This window comes from Homo sapiens, chromosome 17, assembly GCF_000001405.40.
Source record: "Homo sapiens chromosome 17, GRCh38.p14 Primary Assembly".
Lineage (NCBI taxonomy): Eukaryota > Metazoa > Chordata > Mammalia > Primates > Hominidae > Homo > Homo sapiens.
Window position 1 is genome coordinate 2,538,897 of NC_000017.11, and position 20,346 is coordinate 2,559,242.

The 20,346-nt window shown below is 48.6% G+C and overlaps 1 pseudogene, besides 1 other annotated feature; it reads right to left on the minus strand.

Moving 5' to 3' along the window:
- Positions 11,650-12,396: an enhancer, noted in NCBI's record as "H3K27ac hESC enhancer chr17:2453840-2454586 (GRCh37/hg19 assembly coordinates)". NCBI's record gives its function as "activates a minimal SCP1, AML or CMV promoter by ChIP-STARR-seq in primed H9 embryonic stem cells {active_cell/tissue: H9 hESC(primed)}" and the evidence as "EXISTENCE:reporter gene assay evidence [ECO:0000049][PMID:30033119]".
- Positions 18,857-19,198, minus strand: RN7SL33P (RNA, 7SL, cytoplasmic 33, pseudogene; annotated as a pseudogene).

The following is a 20,346-nucleotide window of genomic DNA, read 5'->3' on the forward strand; positions in this document are numbered from 1 at the left end:
AGGCTGAGGTGGGAGGATCGCTTGAGCCCACGTTGTCAAGGCTGCAGTGAGCCATGATCGTGCCATTGCACTACAGCCTGGGCGACAGATCTCAGGCTGTCTCAAAAATAAATACGTGTGTACATACGTGCATACATGCACACATGCATGCACGCATACACGCATGCATGCATACATACATGCATGCACACGTACATGCATGCACACATGCATACACACGTACATGCATACACACATACATGCATACACACCTACATGTTCATAGAGGAAAAAAATTACCCACAGCTTCCCAAAGACAACCACTTAACATTTTGGTCTAGTCCCAAATTTTATTTCAACTATGTTTTGAGGGTTTTCTTTTAAACATTGCTTTTGCTTCTTTTGTTTTGCTTTGTGGTTTCTTTTTTCTTTTTTTTGAGACAGAGCTGGCTCTGTTGCCAAGCTGGAGTGCAGTGGCATGATCTAGGCTCACTACAACCTTCGCTTTCAGGGTTCAAAACATTTCCCTGGCTCTGCCTCCTGAGTAGCTGGGACTACAGGCACGTGCCACTACACCTGGCTAATTTTTGTATTTATAGTAGAGAAGGAGTTTCACGATGTGGGCCAGGATGGTCTCTATCTCTTTACCTCGTGATCTGCCCACCTCGGCCTCCCAAAGTGTTGGGGTTACAGCGTGAGCCACCGCACCTGGTCTGTTGTTGTTTTTTTTTTTTCGAGACGGAGTCTTGCTCTGTCCCCCAGGCTGGAGTGCAGTGGCGCAGTCTCTGCTCACTGCAAGCTCTGCCTCCCGGGTTCATGCCATTCTCCTGCCTCAGCCTCCTGAGTAGCTGGGACTACAGGTGCCCGCCACCACGCCTGGCTAATTTTTTGTATTTTTAGTAGAGACGGGGTTTCACCGTGTTAACCAGGATGGTCTCAATCTCCTGACCTCGTGATCCGCCCGCCTCGGCCTCCCAAAGTGCTGGGATTACAGGCGTGATACTGGGATTACACCACGCCCGGCCCTGTTTTGTTTTAATAGAAACAAGGTCTCGTTCTGTCACTGAGGCTGAAGTATAGTGGTGTCATCATAGCTCACTGCAGCCTTGAACTCCTGGGCTCAAGTGGTTCTCCCATCTTAACCTCCTGAGTAGCTGGGACTACAGGTGTGTGCCACCATGCCCAGCTGTTTTTTTTTTCTTTTTTTGTAGAGACGGGGTCTTGCTCTGTTACCTAGGTTGGTCTCAAACTTCTTGGCTCAAGTGATCCTCCCACCTTGGTCTCCTAAAGTGTTGGGATTACAGGCACGAGCCACCATGCCCAGCCTCTTCTAAACATTGTCATAATTTAGGCCGTGTGCAGTCTCATGCCTGTAATCCCAGCACTTTGGGAGGCCCAAGCAGGCAGATCACTTGAGGTCAGGAGTTCAAGAACAGCCTGGCCAACATGCGGAAACCCAGTCTCTACTAAAAATACAAACATTAGCCGGGCATGGTGGTGGGCGCCTATAATCCTAGCTACTCAGGAGGCAGAGGCAGGAGAATCGCTTGAACCTGGGAGGCAGAGGTTACAGTGAGCCGAGATCGTGCCACTGCACTCTAGTCTGGAAGACAGAGAAAGACTCCATCTCAAAAAAAAAAAGACAAACATTGTTGTAATTTATAAGGGCACACACGTCCTGCTTTTTCACATAACACTGTATCATAAAGATTTCTATGTTAGTGTGTAGTATTTGTAAATATTAAATACTTGCATAGGCCGGGCACAATGGCTCATGCCTGTAATCCCAGCACTTTGGGAGGTTGAGACAGGCAGATCACTTGAGCCCAGGAGGTTGAGACCAACCTGGGCAGCATAGCAAAACCCTGTCTCTACAAAACATACAAAAATTAGCTAGGCGTGGTGGCACATGCCTGTAGTCCCAGCTACTCAGGAGGCTGAGGCAGGAGAATCGCTTCAGCCTGGGAAGCCTCAGGGCTGCAGTCATCTGAGATGGTGCCGCTGCAGTCCAGCCTGAGCGACAGAGTGAGACCTCGTCTCAAAGAAAACAACAACAACAAAAAACCTTGCTTAATACTGCAGGGTTATTGTTGGATCCCCGCTTTTCCATTTGTTCACTGTCATCAAAGGAGACTCAAATTTCACAGTTGCATGGACTTTATTTTTCTATAACTGAACTAAATGTCTTTCTTAAGCCCCAGGTCTCTGGAAGCAAAGAACATAATCAAGTCACTTCCAAGTAAACTCAGTGTTTGTGTGTGTGTGTGTGTGTGTGTGTGTGTGTGTGTGTGTATATATATATATTTTTTTTTTTTTTTTTTTTTTTGAGATGGAGTCTCGCTCTGTCACCCAGGCTGGAGTGCAGTGGTGCGATGTCGGCTCACTGCAAGCTCCGCCTCCTGGGTTCATGCCATTCTCGTGCCTCAGCCTCCCGAGTAGCTGGGACTACAGGCACCTCAGCCTCCCAAAGTGCTGGGATTACAGGTGTGAGCCACCGTGCTCGGCCCAGGTAAACTGTCTTAATCAGATTCTGCTGTTCTCAAGTCCTCACCACTCTGTTGCTGAGGGAGTTATGTAAATGTCACCAAAGAGCCAATGGGGAGGCTTCTTGATCTTTGTCAGCCTCGTTCCATGGTGGTCTCCTGTTCCAGGTATACCAGGTGAGCCATCCCTGTCTGTCTCAGGCTGGGGTAGAAGAAGGTAGGAAGGCAGCATTGAGGGAATGTGTGAGTGGGAGGCAGGAAGGATCTGCCTTGAGTGTGGATAACCTGCTGTGTAGCCACATCCTCATCCATCCATGTGGCATTCTCTTATCACAGCCATGAGATCGCCCCTCTCTAAAGAAGTAGAATGTAGAAGCTGGAAGAACCTGTTTCTTTTTGTTTTTGTTTTGAGACAGAGTCTTGCTCTGTCGCCCAGGCTGGAGTGCCATGACATGATCTTGGCTCACTGCAACCTCTGCCTCCTGGGTTCAAGTGATCCTCCTGCCTCAGCCTCCCCAGTAGCTGGGATTACAGGCACCTGCCACCATGCCCAACTAATTTTTGTATTTTTTAGTAGAGACGGGGTTTCACCATGTTGGCCAGGCTGGTCTCGAACTCCTGATCTCGTGATCCACCTGCCTCGGTCTCCCAAAGTGCTGGAATTACAGGCGTGAGCCACTGTGCCCGGCCAAGAATCTGTTTCTAATCTCAAGCCTAGACATGCCAAGCTACCATTTCTATTCCACAGTGTCCATGCCATCATGGTAGGAGATCTGCCTCTGGGGCTTACTGCCCTCCTGGGGCTTCCCCAGGAATCAAGATCTTTTCAATCCACTTAAAAGAGGTTTATTGAACTTCAGATGGGGCTGGGTGCGCAGTTCCTGTTCTTTCGCTTCCTCTTCCAATGCCCCACCTGTCTTCCCTCTCTAATGAAACCTTATCTGGAGCGGAGGTGCGGAGAATTGTTTCTCCTCTTCCTGAGTCTTTTGGTCTCACTCTTGAATGCACAGCTTGTGAGTTTAAAAACCAAGATGTTGTTGACTTTTTTTATCTGGTTCTATCCTAGGAGGGATGGTGGCCTTGGATTAAAAGGGATTTTGAGAAAGGGAAAGAAGAAACTCGTTATCATCTTAAATTATTATCCTGCCTCATAAATAATGCAGCAAAATTATCTGGGCACATGTCACCAGTGACCTTTGGCAGACAGGGTGGAGCAGAGAGCTGTGTATGAGCCAAGACCTGATGTCATTGAGGAAGGTAAAGTGAGGCTGGGGAGGCTGATGGTAAAGACAGCAGCATAGGCAGGTGGTTCCCCCTGTGAAAAAGGAGAAGGGTGCAGACTGTGGGTGTCTGAACAACGGTGGTTTGTGCCGTCCGCAGAGCTGCAAGTCATCACCCGCCCCTCCTCCCTCAGTAAGAAAGTTGGAGCACAGACTCAGACAATTAAGGGCGCCCTTTCCAATCCACCCGGACACAGTGATGATTGTCCAAAGCAATTGGCTTGCTCAGACAGCCAGAAAAAAATCTAGTCTATCGGCATAAACTGTTTGTTTTTTTTGTTTTGTTTTGTTTTTTGAGATGGAGTTTCACCCTTGTTGCCCAGGCTGGAGTGCAGTGGCGCCATCTTGGCTCACTACAACCTCTGCCTCCTGGGTTCAAGTGATTCTCCTGCCTCAGCCTCCCCAAGTAGGTGGGATTACAGTCGTGAGCCACCACGCCCGGCTAATTTTGTACTTTTTTTTAGTAGAGACGGGGTCTCACCATGTTGGTCAGGCTGGTCTCGAACTACTGACCTCAAGCAATCCACCTGCCTTAGCCTCCCAAAGTGCTGGGATTACAGGTTTGAGCCACCACGCCTGTATGAACTCTTTATGTGTATATAATCATATACAAAGTGATTACAATTTGCAGTGAGCCTCAGCATAAACTCTTTTTGTGCATGTAATCCGGATATTTTCTTTAAAATTTTTCCCATGAGTAGAATTGCTGAGCCAAAGGATAAAACTTATGCAATTATGATGTTAAAAAAGAAAGGTCGGTGGTTCACGCCTATAATCCCAGCACTTTGGGAGGCTGAGGCAGGCGGATCACGAGGTCAGGAGATAGAGACCATCCTGGCTAACATGGTGAAACCCCGTCTCTACTAAAAATACAAAAAAAAAAAAAAATTAGCCGGGCGTGGTGGCGGGCGCCTGTAGTCCCAGCTCTTCCGGAGGCTGAGGAGGAGCTCTGTCCCCTAGGGGCTGAAGTGCAGTGGTGCCATCATAGCTTACTGCAACCTGGAACTCCTGAGCACAGGTGATCCTCCCACCTGAGCCTCCTGAGTAACTGGGGCTATAGGCAGAGGCCGCCAAGCTGAGCTAATTTTTAAACTTTTTGTAAATACAGGATCTCAAGATGTGGGCCAGGCTTGTCTCAAACTGCTGACCTCAAGTGATTCTCCCACTTCAGCCTCCCAAAATGCTGGGATTACAGGCAGGAGCCACAGCGCCCAGCCAGCCATGGTCTTAATACAAAAAGTACCAAAGCTGTTAACTTAAAGGGGGATGAGGCATGAGTCATGGTGGTGGAAAATAAATTGGTACAATCTTTCTGTAGGAAAAGTGGTCAGTATGTCAATATGCATAAAAAAAATTTAACCTAGCACCTCTACTTTTAGGAATTCATCTGAAGGCAATAATTGGACAGATGTGCAAAGATATATATATATGCCAGGAAGTTTAAAGAAGCATGTTTATAATAGTTGAAAATAGACATGATTTAAATATCTAGCAACAGAAGATTGTTAAAAATAGTACTTCCGGCCAGGCACAGTGGCTCACACCTGTAATCCCAGCACTTTGGGAGGCCAAGGCAGGCAGATCACCTGAGGTTGAGAGTTTGAGACCAGCCTGACCAACATGGAGAAACCTCGTGTCTACTAAAATTACAAAATAAGCCAGGCATGGTGGTGCATACCTGTAATCCCAGCTACTCAGGAGGCTGAAGAAAGAGATTCGCTTGAACCCGGGAGGCAGAGGTTGCTGTGAGCCGAGATCGTGCCATTGCACTCCAGCCCGGGCAATAAGAGCAAAACTCCTACTATATATACATATATGTGTATACACACACACACACATATACATATATATGTATAGTACATTCACATAATCAAATATCTTACAGTCATTAAAAATTATGACAAGGCCGGGCGTGGTGGCTCACAGCTGTAATCCCAGCACTTTGGGAGGCTGAGGCGGGCAGATCATGAGGTCAGGAGTTCGAGACCAGCCTGGCCAATATGGTGAAACCCCGTCTCTACTAAAAATACAAAAATTAGCTGGGAGTGGTGGTATGTGCCTGTTGTCCTAGCTACTCAGGAGGCTGAGGCAGGAAAATCACTTGAACCCAGCAGACGGAGGTTGCGGTGAGCTGAGATCTTGCCACTGCACTCCAGTCTGGGCGACAGAGCAAGACTCTGTCTAAAAACAAAACAAAACAAAACAAAACAAAAAACCACTTTGAAGAAATAAAAAGATAAAAAGCAAAACAAATAACAAATTGTATGTACTTATTGTGTACAACATGATGTGACATTCTGTACATTTTAATCTTTTTTTGTTTATTTATTTATTTTGAGACGAAGCTCTATCGCCCAGACTGAGTGCAGTGGCACGATCTCATCTCACTGCAACCTCCACCTTCTGGGTTCAAGAGATTCTCCTGCCTCAGCCTCCAGAGTAGCTGGGATTACAGGTGCATGTCACCGTGTCTGGCTAATTTTTTTGTATTTTTAGAAGAGATGGGGGTTTCATCATGTTGGCCAGGCTGGTCTTGAATTCTCCACCTCAGGTGATCCGCCCACCTCGGCCTCCCAAAGTGCTGGGATGACAGGCGTGAGCCACCGCGCCCAACCACATTTTAATCTATTTTTCACTTAAGGATCTTCCTGGGCCAAACTAGATTTCTTGGAAGCCATGCTTTGTTTCATTTCGTAAGTTCAAGCCTTTTTCTTCCTTTTGGGTAACTCCAGAATTCCTCACTCTCCTCCCCCACTCATTGCCTCTGCTTCTTCCCACATGCCCCTCTTCTCTTCCCATCAGGCTTCCCTAGTCAACATTCTTTTCAGAAGTGAGGCTTGCCCTCGTGACACCTCTCTTAAGTGGCTCAGCCTGGAAAATCCTCTAGGAGAGTTGCCCTTGACGACAGACAGACTCAGAGGTCACAGGCCCTGTGGGCTGTGGGGCCTGGTGTGGATGAGGGTGTCAGCCAAAGTGGCACTTCTGGGGCAACTAACAATAGATTACACAAAGTCCACTGCCAAGTAGTCGCTTGGGCTGGGCCGGTAAAAGGCCCTGATCAGCCGCTGGGAAAGGCTGGTCTTCAACCCTTGGACTCTAACCGCGGCAGGACTCAGCAGAATTCAAGGTCCTGATCATGAGAATGGCTTTGGGTCTCACATGTGCCAGTTCCTGCCCTGAAGCCTTAAGTTTGAGAGCAAGAAGGAAACAAATGGACAGGAAGACTCCCATGAATACAGGAAGCGCCCAAAGATCTCAGGAGCAAGCCCCTTCTTTAACTGAGAGCATTCACTTTCCCTTCTGATTTACTCCCCCAGAAAAACATTAGAGCTGACACCTTCTTGGTGACTTTGGATCATGAGCTCAAACACGATCTCAGAGCTTTGCCATTAGAGATCATCTGTCCTGGCCGGCGCGGTGGCTTACGCCTATAATCCCAGGACTTTGAGAGGCCAAGGCGGGTGGATTACTTGAGGCGAGGAGTTTGAGACCAGCCTGGCCAACTTGGTGAAACCCCATCTCGAACTAAAAATACAAAAATTAGGCCGGGCGCAGTGGCTCACATCTGTAATCCCAGCACTTTGGGAGTCTGAGGCAGGCAGATCACAAGGTCAGGAGTTTGAGACCAGCCTGGCCAACACGGTGAAACCTCGTCTCTACTAAAAATACAAAAATTAACTGGGCGTGGTCGTGGGCGCCTGTAATCCCAGCTACTTGGGAGGCTGAGGCAGGAGAATCATTTGAACCTGGAGGTGTAGGTTGCACTTAGCCGAAATCATGCCATTGCACTCCAGCCTGGGCAACAGGGCGAGACTCCGTCTCAAAAATAAAATAAAATAGGCTGGGCATGGTGGCTCACTTCTGTAATCCCAGCACTTTGGGAGGCTGAGGCAGGCGGATCACGAGATCAGGAGATCAAGACCATCCTGGCTAACACGGTGAAACCTGTCTCTACTAAAAATACAAAAACAAAATTAGCTGGGCGTGGTGGCGGGCGCCTGTAGTCCCAGCTACTCGGGAGGCTGAGGCGGGAGAAGGGCATGAACCCGGGAGGTGGAGCTTGCAATGAGCCGAGATAGCGCCACTGCACTCCAGCCTGGGCGACAGAGCGAGACTCCGTCTCAGAAAAAAAAAAAAAAAAAAAAATTAGCCACATGCAGCGGTGTACACGTGTGGTCGCAGGTATTCAGGAGGCTGAGGCAGGAGGATGACTTGAGCCCAGGAGTTCAAGGGTACGGTGAGCTATGGTCACACCACTGCACTCCACCCTGGGTGACAGAATGAGACACTGTCTCCAAAAAATAAAAATAAAATCAGGACTGTCTTCTTTGTAGACAGTTTGAAATTCTGAAAGAGACCGGGCGCAGTAGCTCACGCCTGTAATCCCAGCACTTTCGAAGGCCAAGGCGGGCGGATCACCTGAGGTCTGGAGTTCAAGACAGCCTGGCTAACATGGTGAAACCCCGTTTCTACTAAAAATACAAAAAATTAGCCAGGCATGGTGGCGCACACCTATAATCCCAGCTACTGGAGAGGCTGAGGCAGGAGAATCGCTTGAACCCGGGAGGCGGAGGTTGCAGAGAGCCGAGATTGCACCACTGCACTCCAGCTTGGGCAATAAGAGTGAAACTCCGTCTCAAAAAAAAAAGAAATTCTGAAAGATAGCTGTTGAATAATTGGCTCATCTGGATTACTGAGACTGGACAATTGCCAAATCTTAGAGCAGAAAATGACAGTGAATCATAGTATTCTGCCCCTGGCTTCTAGGTTGGTAAATATCCCAGCAGTCCGAGATAAACGGCTATCCCTGCCCTTCTTGGCTGTCTCCAGGGATATGCTATCATGTCCCTTCACATATTCTTTGAGGAATTACACACCAAGCGAGAATAGGAGATGGCGTATACTAGTTTTAAGGGAGGAGACCACCCCTCATATTGTCTTATGCCCAATTTCTGCCTCCAAAGAAAGAAAAAGTAAAAACTAAAAGGCAGAAATGAAATCCACAGGCAGACAGCCCGGCGCCACACCCTGGGCCTGGTTGAAAAGCGACCCCTGACCTAATCGGTTATGTTATCTATAGATTACAGGCGTTATATAGAAAAGCACCGTGAAAATCCCTGTCCTGTTCTGTTCCGTTCTGATTACCGGTGCATGCAGACCCCAGTCACGTACCCCCTGCTTGCTCAATCTATCACGACCGTCTCACGCAGACCCCCTTAGAGTTTTGAGCCCTTAAAAGGGACAGGAATTGCTCACTCGGGGAGCTCAGTTGTTGGAGACGTGAGTCTTTTTTTTTTTTTTTTTTAATTGAACATTGTTGGGTGTTTCTCGCAGAAGGGGATTTGGCAGGGTCACAGGACAATAGTGGAGGGACGGTCAGCAGATAAACAAGTGAACCAGAGACGTGAGTCTTTAGAAGCTCCCGGCCGAATAAAGCCCTTCCTTCTTTAACTTGGTGTCTGAGGGGTTTTGTCTGCAGCTTGTCCTGCTACAGTTTATTTATTTATTTTTGAGACAGAGTCTTGCTCCGTTGCTCAGGCTGGAGTGCAGTGGCGCAGTCTCAGCTCACTGCAACCTCCACGTCCCAGGTTCAAGCGATTCTTGTGTCTCACCCTCTTGAGTAGCTGAGATTACAGGCATGTGCCACCACGCCCAGCTAATTTTTTTTTTTTTTTTTTTGAGACGGAGTTTCACTCTGTTGCCCAGGCTGGAGTGCAGTGGTGTGATCTCTGCACCCTGGAACCTCCTTCTCCTGGGTTCAAGTGATTCTCCTGCCTCAGCCTCCTGAGTAGCTGGGATTATAGGCACCTGCCACCATGCCCAGCTAATTTTTGTATTTTAGTAAAGACGGGGTTTCACCATGTTGGTCAGGCTGGTCTTGAACTCCTGACCTCAGGTGATCCACCTGCCTTGGCCTCCCAAAGTGCTGGGATTACAGGCAGGAGATGGAGTATACTAGTTACCCAGGGTAGGTACCTGTGCACTCCCCTGGAACTGGGGCATGGTGTCAGCTGCACCCAACCATATGCATTGCAAGTAGGAGAGAGGTGGCTCCTCAAAGGAAAACCTTTTATTATTAGAAGAAAGGACTATAGAAAGTAGGAAGGACAAAAATAGCTCTGCGCATAACAGAGACCGTGAGATTTCCTAGAGGTGACCAGCCTCTGCTGGATGGCGTAGGGTGAGCCTCGGCAGCTCTTCCAGCGGGCCTTTCTGTGCTGTGGAGGCTGGAAGGAGAAAGCTGCCCTTCCCAGATTGCATGCAGCTTGGATTCTGGGCGCAGCCTGGGTTCTAGGTTGATACTTATTAATAAATGCATTCCTTCGAGATCTGAAAAGTGGAAGTGGGCTGGGTGAGGTGGCTCACGCCGGTAATCCCAGCACTTTGGAAGGCCGAGGCTGGTGGATCACCTGAGGTCAGGAGTTCAAGACCAGCCAGGCCAACATGGTGAAACTCCACCTCTACTAAAAATACAAAAATTAGCTGGGTGTGGTGGTGGGCACCTGTAATCCCAGCTACTCGGGAGGCTGAGGCAGGAGAATCACTTAAACCCAGAAGGCGGAGGTTGCGGTGAGCCGAGATCGCACCACTGCACTCCAGCCTGGACAACAGGAGTGAAACTCTGTCTCAGGAAAAAAAAGAGAAAAGAAGAGAAGAAGAAGGGAGGGGAGGAAAGAGACTAGAAGAGACGAGATGAAGGGAAGGGAGGGGAAGGGAGGGGAAGGGAAGGAGGTCGTGCTGTGTTCTTTTTGCTCTCAGCTGTTTGCTTTTGGCAAGAAGGCCATGAGATGCCCATGTCAAGTCTCCAGGTTTGAGGATATTGAGAGAAACTGTGGAGGTAGCAGTGGCAGAATTCCACATTCTAGTGTATAGGTGGGGGCGGTGGGTGGCAGCAACCTCTTGGGCCCAGCTTCCTGGTACCTGGATTGTCGCTAGAACAGAATGTCCTACAACTCAGCGTTCCTGTGGGTGACAGATAATGACTCCATTGGGAGTGTTCTGGGAGTCATTCCTGAAAGCAAACCTTGAGTCTGCTCCTCTCGCCCTTCCAGGGACTTGGTAATCTTTCAGTTGCATAGATTATGTGTGCCTAGAACAGGCACAGTGGCTAATGCCTGTAATCCCAACACTTTGGGGGGCCGAGGTGGGAGCATCGCTTTAGCCTAGGAGTTGGAGACCAGCCTGGGCAGCACAGTGAGACCCCATTTCCACACACAACATTTTTTTTTTAATTAGCTGAGAGTGGTGGCACACACCTGTAGTCTCAGCTGCTTAGGAGGCTGAGGTGGGAAGATCGCTTGAGCCCAGGAGGCCAAGGCTCCAGTGAGCTGTGATGGCACCACTGCATTCCAGCCTGGGTGACAGAGCAAGACCCTGTCTCTACAAAGGAAAAAAAAATTCCTAAGATTTTTCAAGGAGCTAGCTCATTGTTGAATGCTTGGAGGTTCTCAGTCTTTACTCTGTCACTCCTATTCTACTTTCCCACCATGCTGTTTCTCACTGTGCCACCTCATTCCTTCATTCCTCCCAAACACTCTACCATTTCTCTCAAACCACGTGTGCAGCAGACTTTATTGAAGTGTGTTTTTTTTTTTTTTTTTTTGAGGCGGAGTCTCGCTCTGTCACCAGGCTGGGGTGCAATGGCACGATCTTGGCTCACAGCAACCTCCACCTCCCCGGTTGAAGCGATTCTCCTGCCTCAGCCTCCTGAGTAGCTGGGACTACAGGAGCATGTCACCACACCCAGCAAATTTTTGTATTTTTAGTACAGATGGGGTTTCACCATGTTGGCCAGGCTGGTCTCGATCTCCTGACCTCAAGTGATCTGCCCGCCTTGGCCTCCCAATATGCTGGGATTACAGTCATGAGCCACCGCCCCTGGCCTTTACTGAAGATTTGAGGTAGAGAACCACAACACACTACAGTGTGCAATACGGCTCAAAATTGAACATTGGACATCACTGTCCAAAATAACCACCTGCCATTCTCTTGCCTGAAGATATGTCTCATTTAGTTAGTTATTTGCAACAGAGTCTTGCTCTGCCACCCAGATTCGAGTGCCCAGGTGTTGCTCACTCACTGCAGCCTCGTCCTCCTGGGTAAAAATGGGGTTTCACCATGTTGCCTAGGCTGGTCTCGAACTCTTGGGCTCAATCGAACCTCCCACTTCGCCTCCCAAAGTGCTGGGATTGTAGGCGTGAGCCACGGTGCCAGGCCTATTTATTTTTTCACATGCCTGCTGTGTCAAATGAAGATATTTCCACCTCAAGGGCGGATCACTTAAGGTCAGGAGTTCGAGACCAGCCTGGCCAACATGGTGAAACCCCGTCTCTACTAAAAATAAAAAAAATCAGCTGGGCGTGGTGGCACATGCCTGTAATCCCAGCCAATCTGGAGGCTGAGGCAGGAGAATCGCTTGAACCCGGGAGGTGGAGGCTACAGTTAGCCAAGATTGTGCTATTGCACTCCATCCTGGTTGACAGAGTGAGACTCTATCTTTAAAGAATAGGCTGGGTGCGGTGGCTCATGCTTGTAATCCCAGCACTTTGGGAGGCTGAGGAGGGTGGATCACCTGAGGTCTGGAGTTCAAGACTGGCCTGGCCAATATGGTGAAACTCCATCTCTACTAAAAATACAAAAAATTTTACAAAATCAGCCGGGTGTGGTGGCGGATGCCTGTAATCCCAGCTACTCAGGAGGCTGAGGCAGGAGAATCAGCTGAACCCGGGAGGCAGAGGTTGCGGTGAGCCGAGATCATGCTATTGCACTGCAGCCTCGGCAACAGGAGTGAAACTCCATCTCAAAAAAAAATAATAATTAATTAATTAATAATAAATAAATAGCTTCATGAGGCTAGTGACTACCATAGTGGACTATGCGACTCTAGACACTTCATCCCTTGCATGCTGTGGGTCTTCAACGTCTTAATTCCTACCACTGCCTCCTGGCAAAGCATTTGATTCCTCTGTTTTTTCAAAAACGTTTTCTCTGCTTGTGCTCTGTTAACCGTGTCCTGGGGCAGGCGGCACTTTTGCTATTCATCTACGGATGAGGCCCGACAAGCTATTTGCCTCCACAGCGGAATCTTCCTGCTGCTCTTCCGGGGCAGGAATGCAGCACCCCTGAGCTTTGTTTTCAAAATAGCATTTCCCCCCCTGCTTCCCCCACGCTCTACCCTCTTTGATGTATACCAATGTGTAGAAAAAGACCAAGAAGATATCTACCAAAATGTCAATGGTTATGTTTGGGTAGAAAAATTATATATCACCTTTATTTTTCTTTCTTGTGCCTTTTTAGTTTTTCTACAATGAACAGGTAGGGCTTTTGAAAGGTATAAAAATAGTTATAAAACAATTCTCTTTGGCGTTCCCAGGAGGACAGCAAAGGAAAGTTTCAGCAAGGGAACCTTGCGGCGGCTGGGAGAGCAGCCTGTCCAGGTGGGGTGAGGGGCTGCAGAGGGGCCCACAAAGAAAACACAGAACCGAGGAACTAGCCGGCAAGTTTGACTATGCGGAAAATTGGATTAGGACGGGTTTACAGAGTTGCTGGAGAGTGTGGGAAGACTCACAGATTCCAACAAAGCTGAGCACGTGAAAAAAAGAAGACGTTCACTCCAGGGAAAACAAAAGGGAAATACATGTAGTTGTCACTGATACCTACATAGCCATCATAAGGAAGACACTAAATAAGGCTTTAGCCAAAATTGTGTTAAAAGACCTTGAGAAGGGCAGGGCTCGGTGGCTCATGCTTGTAATCCCAGCACTTTGGGAGGCTGAGGGGGGCGGATCACCTGAGGTCGGATGTTCAAGACCAGCCTGGCCAGCATGGAGAAACCCTGTGTCTACCAAAAATACAAAATTAGCCGGACGTGGTGGCGCATGCCTGTAATCCCAGCTACTCAGGAGGCTGAGGCAGGAGAATCGCTTGAAACCGGGAGGCCTTGGAGGTTGTGGTGAGCTGAGATTATGCCATTGCACTCCAGCCTGTGCAACAAGAGCGAAACTCCATCTCAAAAAAAAAAAAAAAAAAGATGTTGAGAAGGCAAGGAAAGAGGTGAGGTAAGACAGTTAAATCCTCCAAGTTCATAAATCCTCAAGTTCCTCCAAGGAAGCCCATTGGTAATATCTGCAACTGAAATTTTAAGAAGTGCTGATATAAACCTGTTATTGGAGATATGGGGATAAATACCAGAAAAAAATAGCTAAAAAGGAGTTCAAAGTGGTTGGATCTGAGAAGCAGGACTTGGGTAGGGAGTTGGGGAGCAGAAGGCGGCTGTCTTTCCTCTAAGCCTTTTTCTTCTATTGGACTCTTTAAAAACTCAGTTCCTATATGATTTTATTAAAGATAAAAAATTTTGGCCAGGTGCAGTGGCTCATGCCTGTAATCTCAGCACTTTGGGAGGTTGAGGCAGGCGGATCATTTGAGATCAGGAGTTCAAGACCAGCCTGGTCGACATGGCGAAACCCTGTCTCTACTAAAAATACAAAAATTAGCTGGGCATGGTGGCAGGTGCCTGTAATCCCAGCTACTTGGGAGTCTGAGGTGTGAGAATCACTGGAACCCAGGAGGCAGAGGTTGCAGTGAGCTGAGATCGAGCCGCTGCACTCCAGCCTGGGAGACAGGGCAAGACTCTATCTCAAAAAAAAAAAAAAAAAAAAAAAAAAGACCAGGCGCGGTGGCTCACGCCTGTAATCCCAGCACTATGGGAGGCCAAGGCAGGCGGATCACGAGTTCAGGAGATTGAGACCATCCTGGCTAACACGGTGAAACCCTGTCTCTGCTAAAAATACTAGCTGGGCATGGTGGCGGGCGCCTGTAGTCCCAGCTACTCGGGAGGCTGAGGCAGGAGAATGGTGTAAACCCGGGAGGTGGAGCTTGCAGTGAGCCGAGATCGCGCCACTGCACTCCAGCCAGGGCGACACAGCGAGACTCTGTCTCAAAAAAGAAAAAAAAAAATTAAATGTCATTTAAACAAATGCCCTCCAATAACCAGAAAAAAGATGTGGCAATGCTTTGGCTTTCTCTTTCTAGTGATGTCAAAAGGATCCCTGCTACATGGGCTGATCTTGGTTGGACCACGTTGTTGTCAAGCACAGTAACAGAACGGGACACCCTGCCCATGCAGGCTGAATGACTATGACTCCTAGGGCAGGAAAGGACTCCTGCCACTGCCCTACCCTCAGCCCCGCAGCTCGACAGTCCCGTCTTCCTCCGACAGACAGGGCTGCAGATGCTTTTTTTTTTGAGACGGAGTTTTGTTCTGTCGCCCAGGCTGGAGTGGAGTGCAGTGGCATCATCTCGGCTCACTGCAACCTCCGCCTCCCAGGTTCAAGCATTCTCCTGCCTCAGCCTCCCGAGTAGCTGGGATTACAGGTGCACACCACCATGCCCGGCTAATTTTTGTATTTTTAGTGGAGATGGGGTTTCACCGTGTTGGCCAGCCTGGTCTCAAACTCCTGACCTCAAGTGATCCTCCTGCCTCGGCCTCCCAAAGTGCTGGGATGACAGGCATGAGCCACTGCACCCAGCCTCCATTTAACCATTTTTAAGTGTATGGTTCAGCGGCAGTAAGTACATTCCTAGTTGTACAACCATCACACCCATCTGTCTCCATAACTTTTTCATCATCCTCCCCTGAAACTGCACCCATTAAACACTAACTCCCCATTCTCCCCTCCCCCCAGCCCACAAACCACCCTCTTAATTTCTGTCCCCATGATTTTGACTACCCTAGAAACCTCATATAAGTGGAATCATAAAACATTTTTCTTTTTGTGACTAGCTTATTTCACTTCACATGATGTTTTCAATGTTGTAGCGTGGGCCAGAATTTTCTCACATTTTCAGGCTTACTAATGTATCTCCTTGTATGAATCTACCACATTTTGTGTGTCCATTCACCTGTCGATGGACACTTGGGTAGCTTCTACTTGGCTGTTGTGAATAATGCAGCTGTGAATGTAGGTGAACAAATATACGTTGCGGTCCCTGCTTTAATTATTTTGGGTCTACACCCAGAAGTGGAATTACTGAGGCTGGGCGTGGTGGCTCACACCTGTAATCCAAGCACTTTGGGAGGCTGACGTGGGAGGTTCACCTCAGATCAGGAGTTCAAGACCAGCCTGGCCAACATGGTAAAACCCCGTCTCTACTAAAAACACAAAAATTAGCCAGGCGTGGTGGCACGTTCCTGTAATCCCAGCTACTCGGGAGGCTGAGGCAGGAGAATCACTGGAATCCAGGAGGCAGAGGCTGCAGTGAGCTGAGGTGGCGCCACTGCACTCCAGCCTGGGCAGCAGAGTGAGACTCCACCAAAAAAAAAAAAAAAAGTGGAATTGCTGGGTTGGATGGTAATTCCACACTTAGTTTTGTAGGGATTCACTGTACTGTTTCCTGCAGCAGCGGCCTCATTTTACATTCCCACAGAATCCACATGGGTTCCAGTTTCTTCGCACCCTCACCAACACTTGTTATTTTATTTCTTTTTTTTTTAGAGATAGGATCTCACGATGTTGCCCAGGCTGGTCTTGAACTCCTAGTCTCAGGTAATCCTCCTGCTTTGGCCTCCCAGAGCATTGAGCTTACACACGTGAGCCGCCAGGCCCAGCAAACACTTGTTTTTTTTTGTTTTTTTGAAACGGGGTTTCACTCTCGTTAACCAGGCTGGAGTACAATGATGTGATCTCGGCTCACTGCAACCTCCCACTCCCGGGTTCAAGCGATTCTCCTGTCTCGGCCTCCTGAGTAGCTGGGATTACAGGCGCCGACCACTACACCCAGGTAATTTTTGGTATTTTTAGTAGAAATGGGGTTTCACCGTGTTGGCCAGGGTGGTCTCGAACTCCTGACGTCAGGTGATCCACCTGCCTCAGCCTCCCAAAGTGCTGAGATTACAGGCAGGAGCCACTGCACCTGGCCCTTTCCTTTCCTTCCTTTCTTCTTTCGATTTATTTATTTATTTATTTGTTTGTTTGTTTGTTTGTTTATGACAGAGTCTCTCTCTGTTGCCCAGACTGGAGTGCAGTGGCGCAATGTCAGTTCACTGCAGCCTCTACCTCCCGAGTTTAAGCGATTCTTGTGCCTCAGCCTCCTGAGTAGCTGGGACTACAGGCGTGCACCACCATGCCTGGCTAACTTTTGTATTTTTAATAGAGATGGGTGGGGTTTCACCATGTTGGCCAAGCTGGTCTCGAACTCCTGGCCTCAAGTGATCTGCCCGCCTTGGCCTCCCAAAGTGCTGGGATTACAGATGTGAGCCACTGTGTGGCATTTGTTTTTTTCTTTTAAATAATAGCCATCCTAGTAGATGTGAGCACTGATGTTTTCCTCTCTTAATCTTGCTCAGTAGGACAGTGGTTTAGTTGTAATGGAAAACTCTGGGTTTTATTGGGCTGAGTTGGCCTGAGGTGCCAAGGCTGCACTGGGGGCCACAGAGATAGCCTGGTACTATTAGAAAGGCCTAGGGGAGATGAAATTTACCACCTTGCAGCCTAGTCCTCCAACAGACTTGAGTGATGGTTAATGGCACGGACTTCAGACCCAGAGCACCCAGGCATGGTGTGTCATATCCGTAATGCCAGCACTTTGGTAGACTGAGGTAGAAGGATTGCTTGAGCCCAGAAAGAAGTTCAAGACTAGCCTGGGCAACATAGTGAGACTCTGTCTCTACCATAAAAAAAAAATTAGCCAGGCGTAGAGGCATGCACCTGTAGTCCCAGCTACTCCGCAGGCTGAGGCAAGAAGATCACTTGAACCCTGGAGGTCAAGGCTGCAGTGAGCTATGATGGCACCACTGTACTCCAGCCTGGGCAACAGAATGACACCCTGTCTGTAAACAAAAAAACCCTCCTTTCCACATTCAGCCCACAAATCTTTCAGGAATGACCATTATACACCAAGTACCATGCTAGACACAGGGGATTCAACAATAAACAAAAGCACACAATGCCCTGCCCTCATGGAGCTTATAGTCTAGTGAGGGAAAAAGATGTTAGTTGAATTATCACCTTTCAATGAATGTGTGATTACAAAATGAATAAAACAAATGCTTTGATGGCAGAGGCTCTAGCAGTACCTCAGTGTTCCTTCTGTCCCTCTTTATGAGTAATAGAACCTTTGATTTTTACATAGACATATGGGTACCTAGAATAAAGACTACATTTTCCAGGCTTCTTGCAACCAGATGTGGCCTTGTGGCTAAATTCTGGCCAGTCCTACATATGCAGAAGTGGGATGTTCAACTTGTAGGAGATGTCTGTAAAGGGAGGAGGCTTGCCCGTTTTTCCTCTTTCTTATTCCCACTTGTGGGAATGTGGACATAATGGCTGGAGCTCCAGCTGCTGTCTTGGACTATCAAGCGACCTTGAGAATGAAAACCATGTATATTGGAGCAAGAAAATAAAGGAAGCCCGTGGGGCTGGTGTCGTGGTTCACACCTGTAATCCCAGCACTTTGGGCAAGAGAATCACTTGAGCCCAGGAGTTCAAGACCAACCTGGGCAACATAGTGAGACCCCTTCTCTACTAAAAATTTAAAACATAGTGAAGCACAGAGGTGTGTACCTGTGATCCTAGCTAGTTGGAAGACTGAGATAAGAGGATCTCTTGAGCTGGTTCAGCTCTGTTGTCCAGGCTGGAGTGCAGTGAGCTATGATTGCACCACTGCATTCCAGCCTGGGAAACAGTGCAAGACCCTGTCTCAAAACAGAAGGAAGAAAGAAGAAGAAGGAGGAGGAGGAAAGAAGAAGGAAGAAGGAAGATGAAGAGGAAGGGGAAGAAGGAGAAAGCAGCAGCAGCTTGGCTCTTAGGCACCATGAGGCCCAGGACTTTTTTTTTTAGAGATGAGGTCTCACTATGTTGCCCAGGCTGGAGTGCAGTGGCTGTTCACAGGTGTGATCCCACTACTGATCAGTACAGGAGTTTTTTTGTTTTTGTTTTTTGTTTTGTTTTTTGAGACGGAGTTTTGCTCTTGTTGCCCAGGCTGGAGTGAAATGGCGCCATCTCGGCTCACTGCAACCTCCATCTCCCGGGTTCAAGCGATTCTCCTGCCTCAGCCTCCGAAGTAGCTGGGATTACAGGCATGCACCACCACACCCAGCTAATTTGTATTTTTAGTAGAGATGGAATTTCTCCATGTTGGTCAGGCTGGTCTCAAACTTCCGACCTCTGGTGATCCGCCCACCTCGGCCTCCCAAAGTGCTAGGATTACAGGTGTGAACAACCGCGCCCGGCCAGCACAGGAGTTTTGACCTGCTCCGTTTCTGACCTGGGCCTGTTACCCCTCCTTAGGCAACCTGGTGGTCCCCTGTTCCTTGGAGGTCACCATATTGATGCTGAACTTAGTGTGGACACCTGATTGGCCCAGTGCACTACAGCCCAGAACTCCTGGACTCAAGTGATCCTCCCACCTCAGCCTCCCAAGTAGCCGGGACTATAGGCAGGCATTACCATGCCCAGCACCCAGGACTTCTAAGTGCAAAAGAAATGAGGTTTAATTTTGTGTAAGCCCCTGTTATTTGGAGTTTTTCTGTGGTTTGCCACTGTAACAGGAAGATGTAGTTCTATGAGCAAATGTAACACGGAACTTGACCCATACCAGGAGGGCTTCTTTGAGGAAATGACACTTGGGTTGAGTTAGCAATAGAGTGAGGAGGAAAGGGTTTTCAAGCAAAGGAAAAGTCCTATGCAAAAGTCCTGGGGTAGAAAGGAGCTTGCTGTGTTCCAAGGAAGAGAAGAAAGACCAGGGTGGCTGGGATAGAAAAAACAAGTAGAGGATCAGCACGAAATGAGGTTGGAAAGGTGACAACACAGGGCACCATAAGCCTGTCAAGGCTTTTGCCAAAGATCCCAAGAGTAATGGGAGGCCACTGAAGGGGTTTTAGTGAGGAGATTAGAGGGCTAGATTGGTTCTCCTGGCTAGTAGCTCCATCCATCTGGAAGGCAGCTGCCATCTCTCAACCCCAGGATATCTTAGAGGCTGGGATCAAATGTTGTTTATCTGTGGATGAACTTTTTTTTTTTTTGAGACGGAGTCTCGCTGTCGCCCAGGCTGGAGTGCAGTGGCAGTGATCTCGGCTCACTGCAGGTTCCGCCCCCTGGCGGGGTTCACGCCATTCTCCTGCCTCAGCCTCCCACCTAGCTGGGACTACAAGCTCCCGCCACCTCGCCCGGCTAATTTTTTGTATTTTTAGTAGAGATGGGGTTTCACCGTGTTAGCCAGGATGGTCTCGATCTCCTGACCTCGTGATCCGCCCGCCTCGGCCTCCCAAAGTGCTGGGATTACAGGTATGAGCCACCGCGCCCGGCCTGGATGAACTTTTTATAAAACTATTTTTTTGACAGAATCTTGCTTTGTCACCCAGGCTGCAGTACAGTGGCACGATCTCCACTCACTGCTACCTCCACCTCCCAGGTTCAGACGATTCCCCTGCCTCAGCCTCCCGAGTAGCTGGGACTACAGGCATATGCCACGCCATGCCCGGCTAACTTTTTGTATTTTAATAGAGACGGGGTTTCACCATGTTGACCAGGATGGTCTCAAGCTCCTGACCTCGTGATCTGCCTGCCTCGGCCTCTCAAAATGCTGGGATTACAGGCATGAGCCAC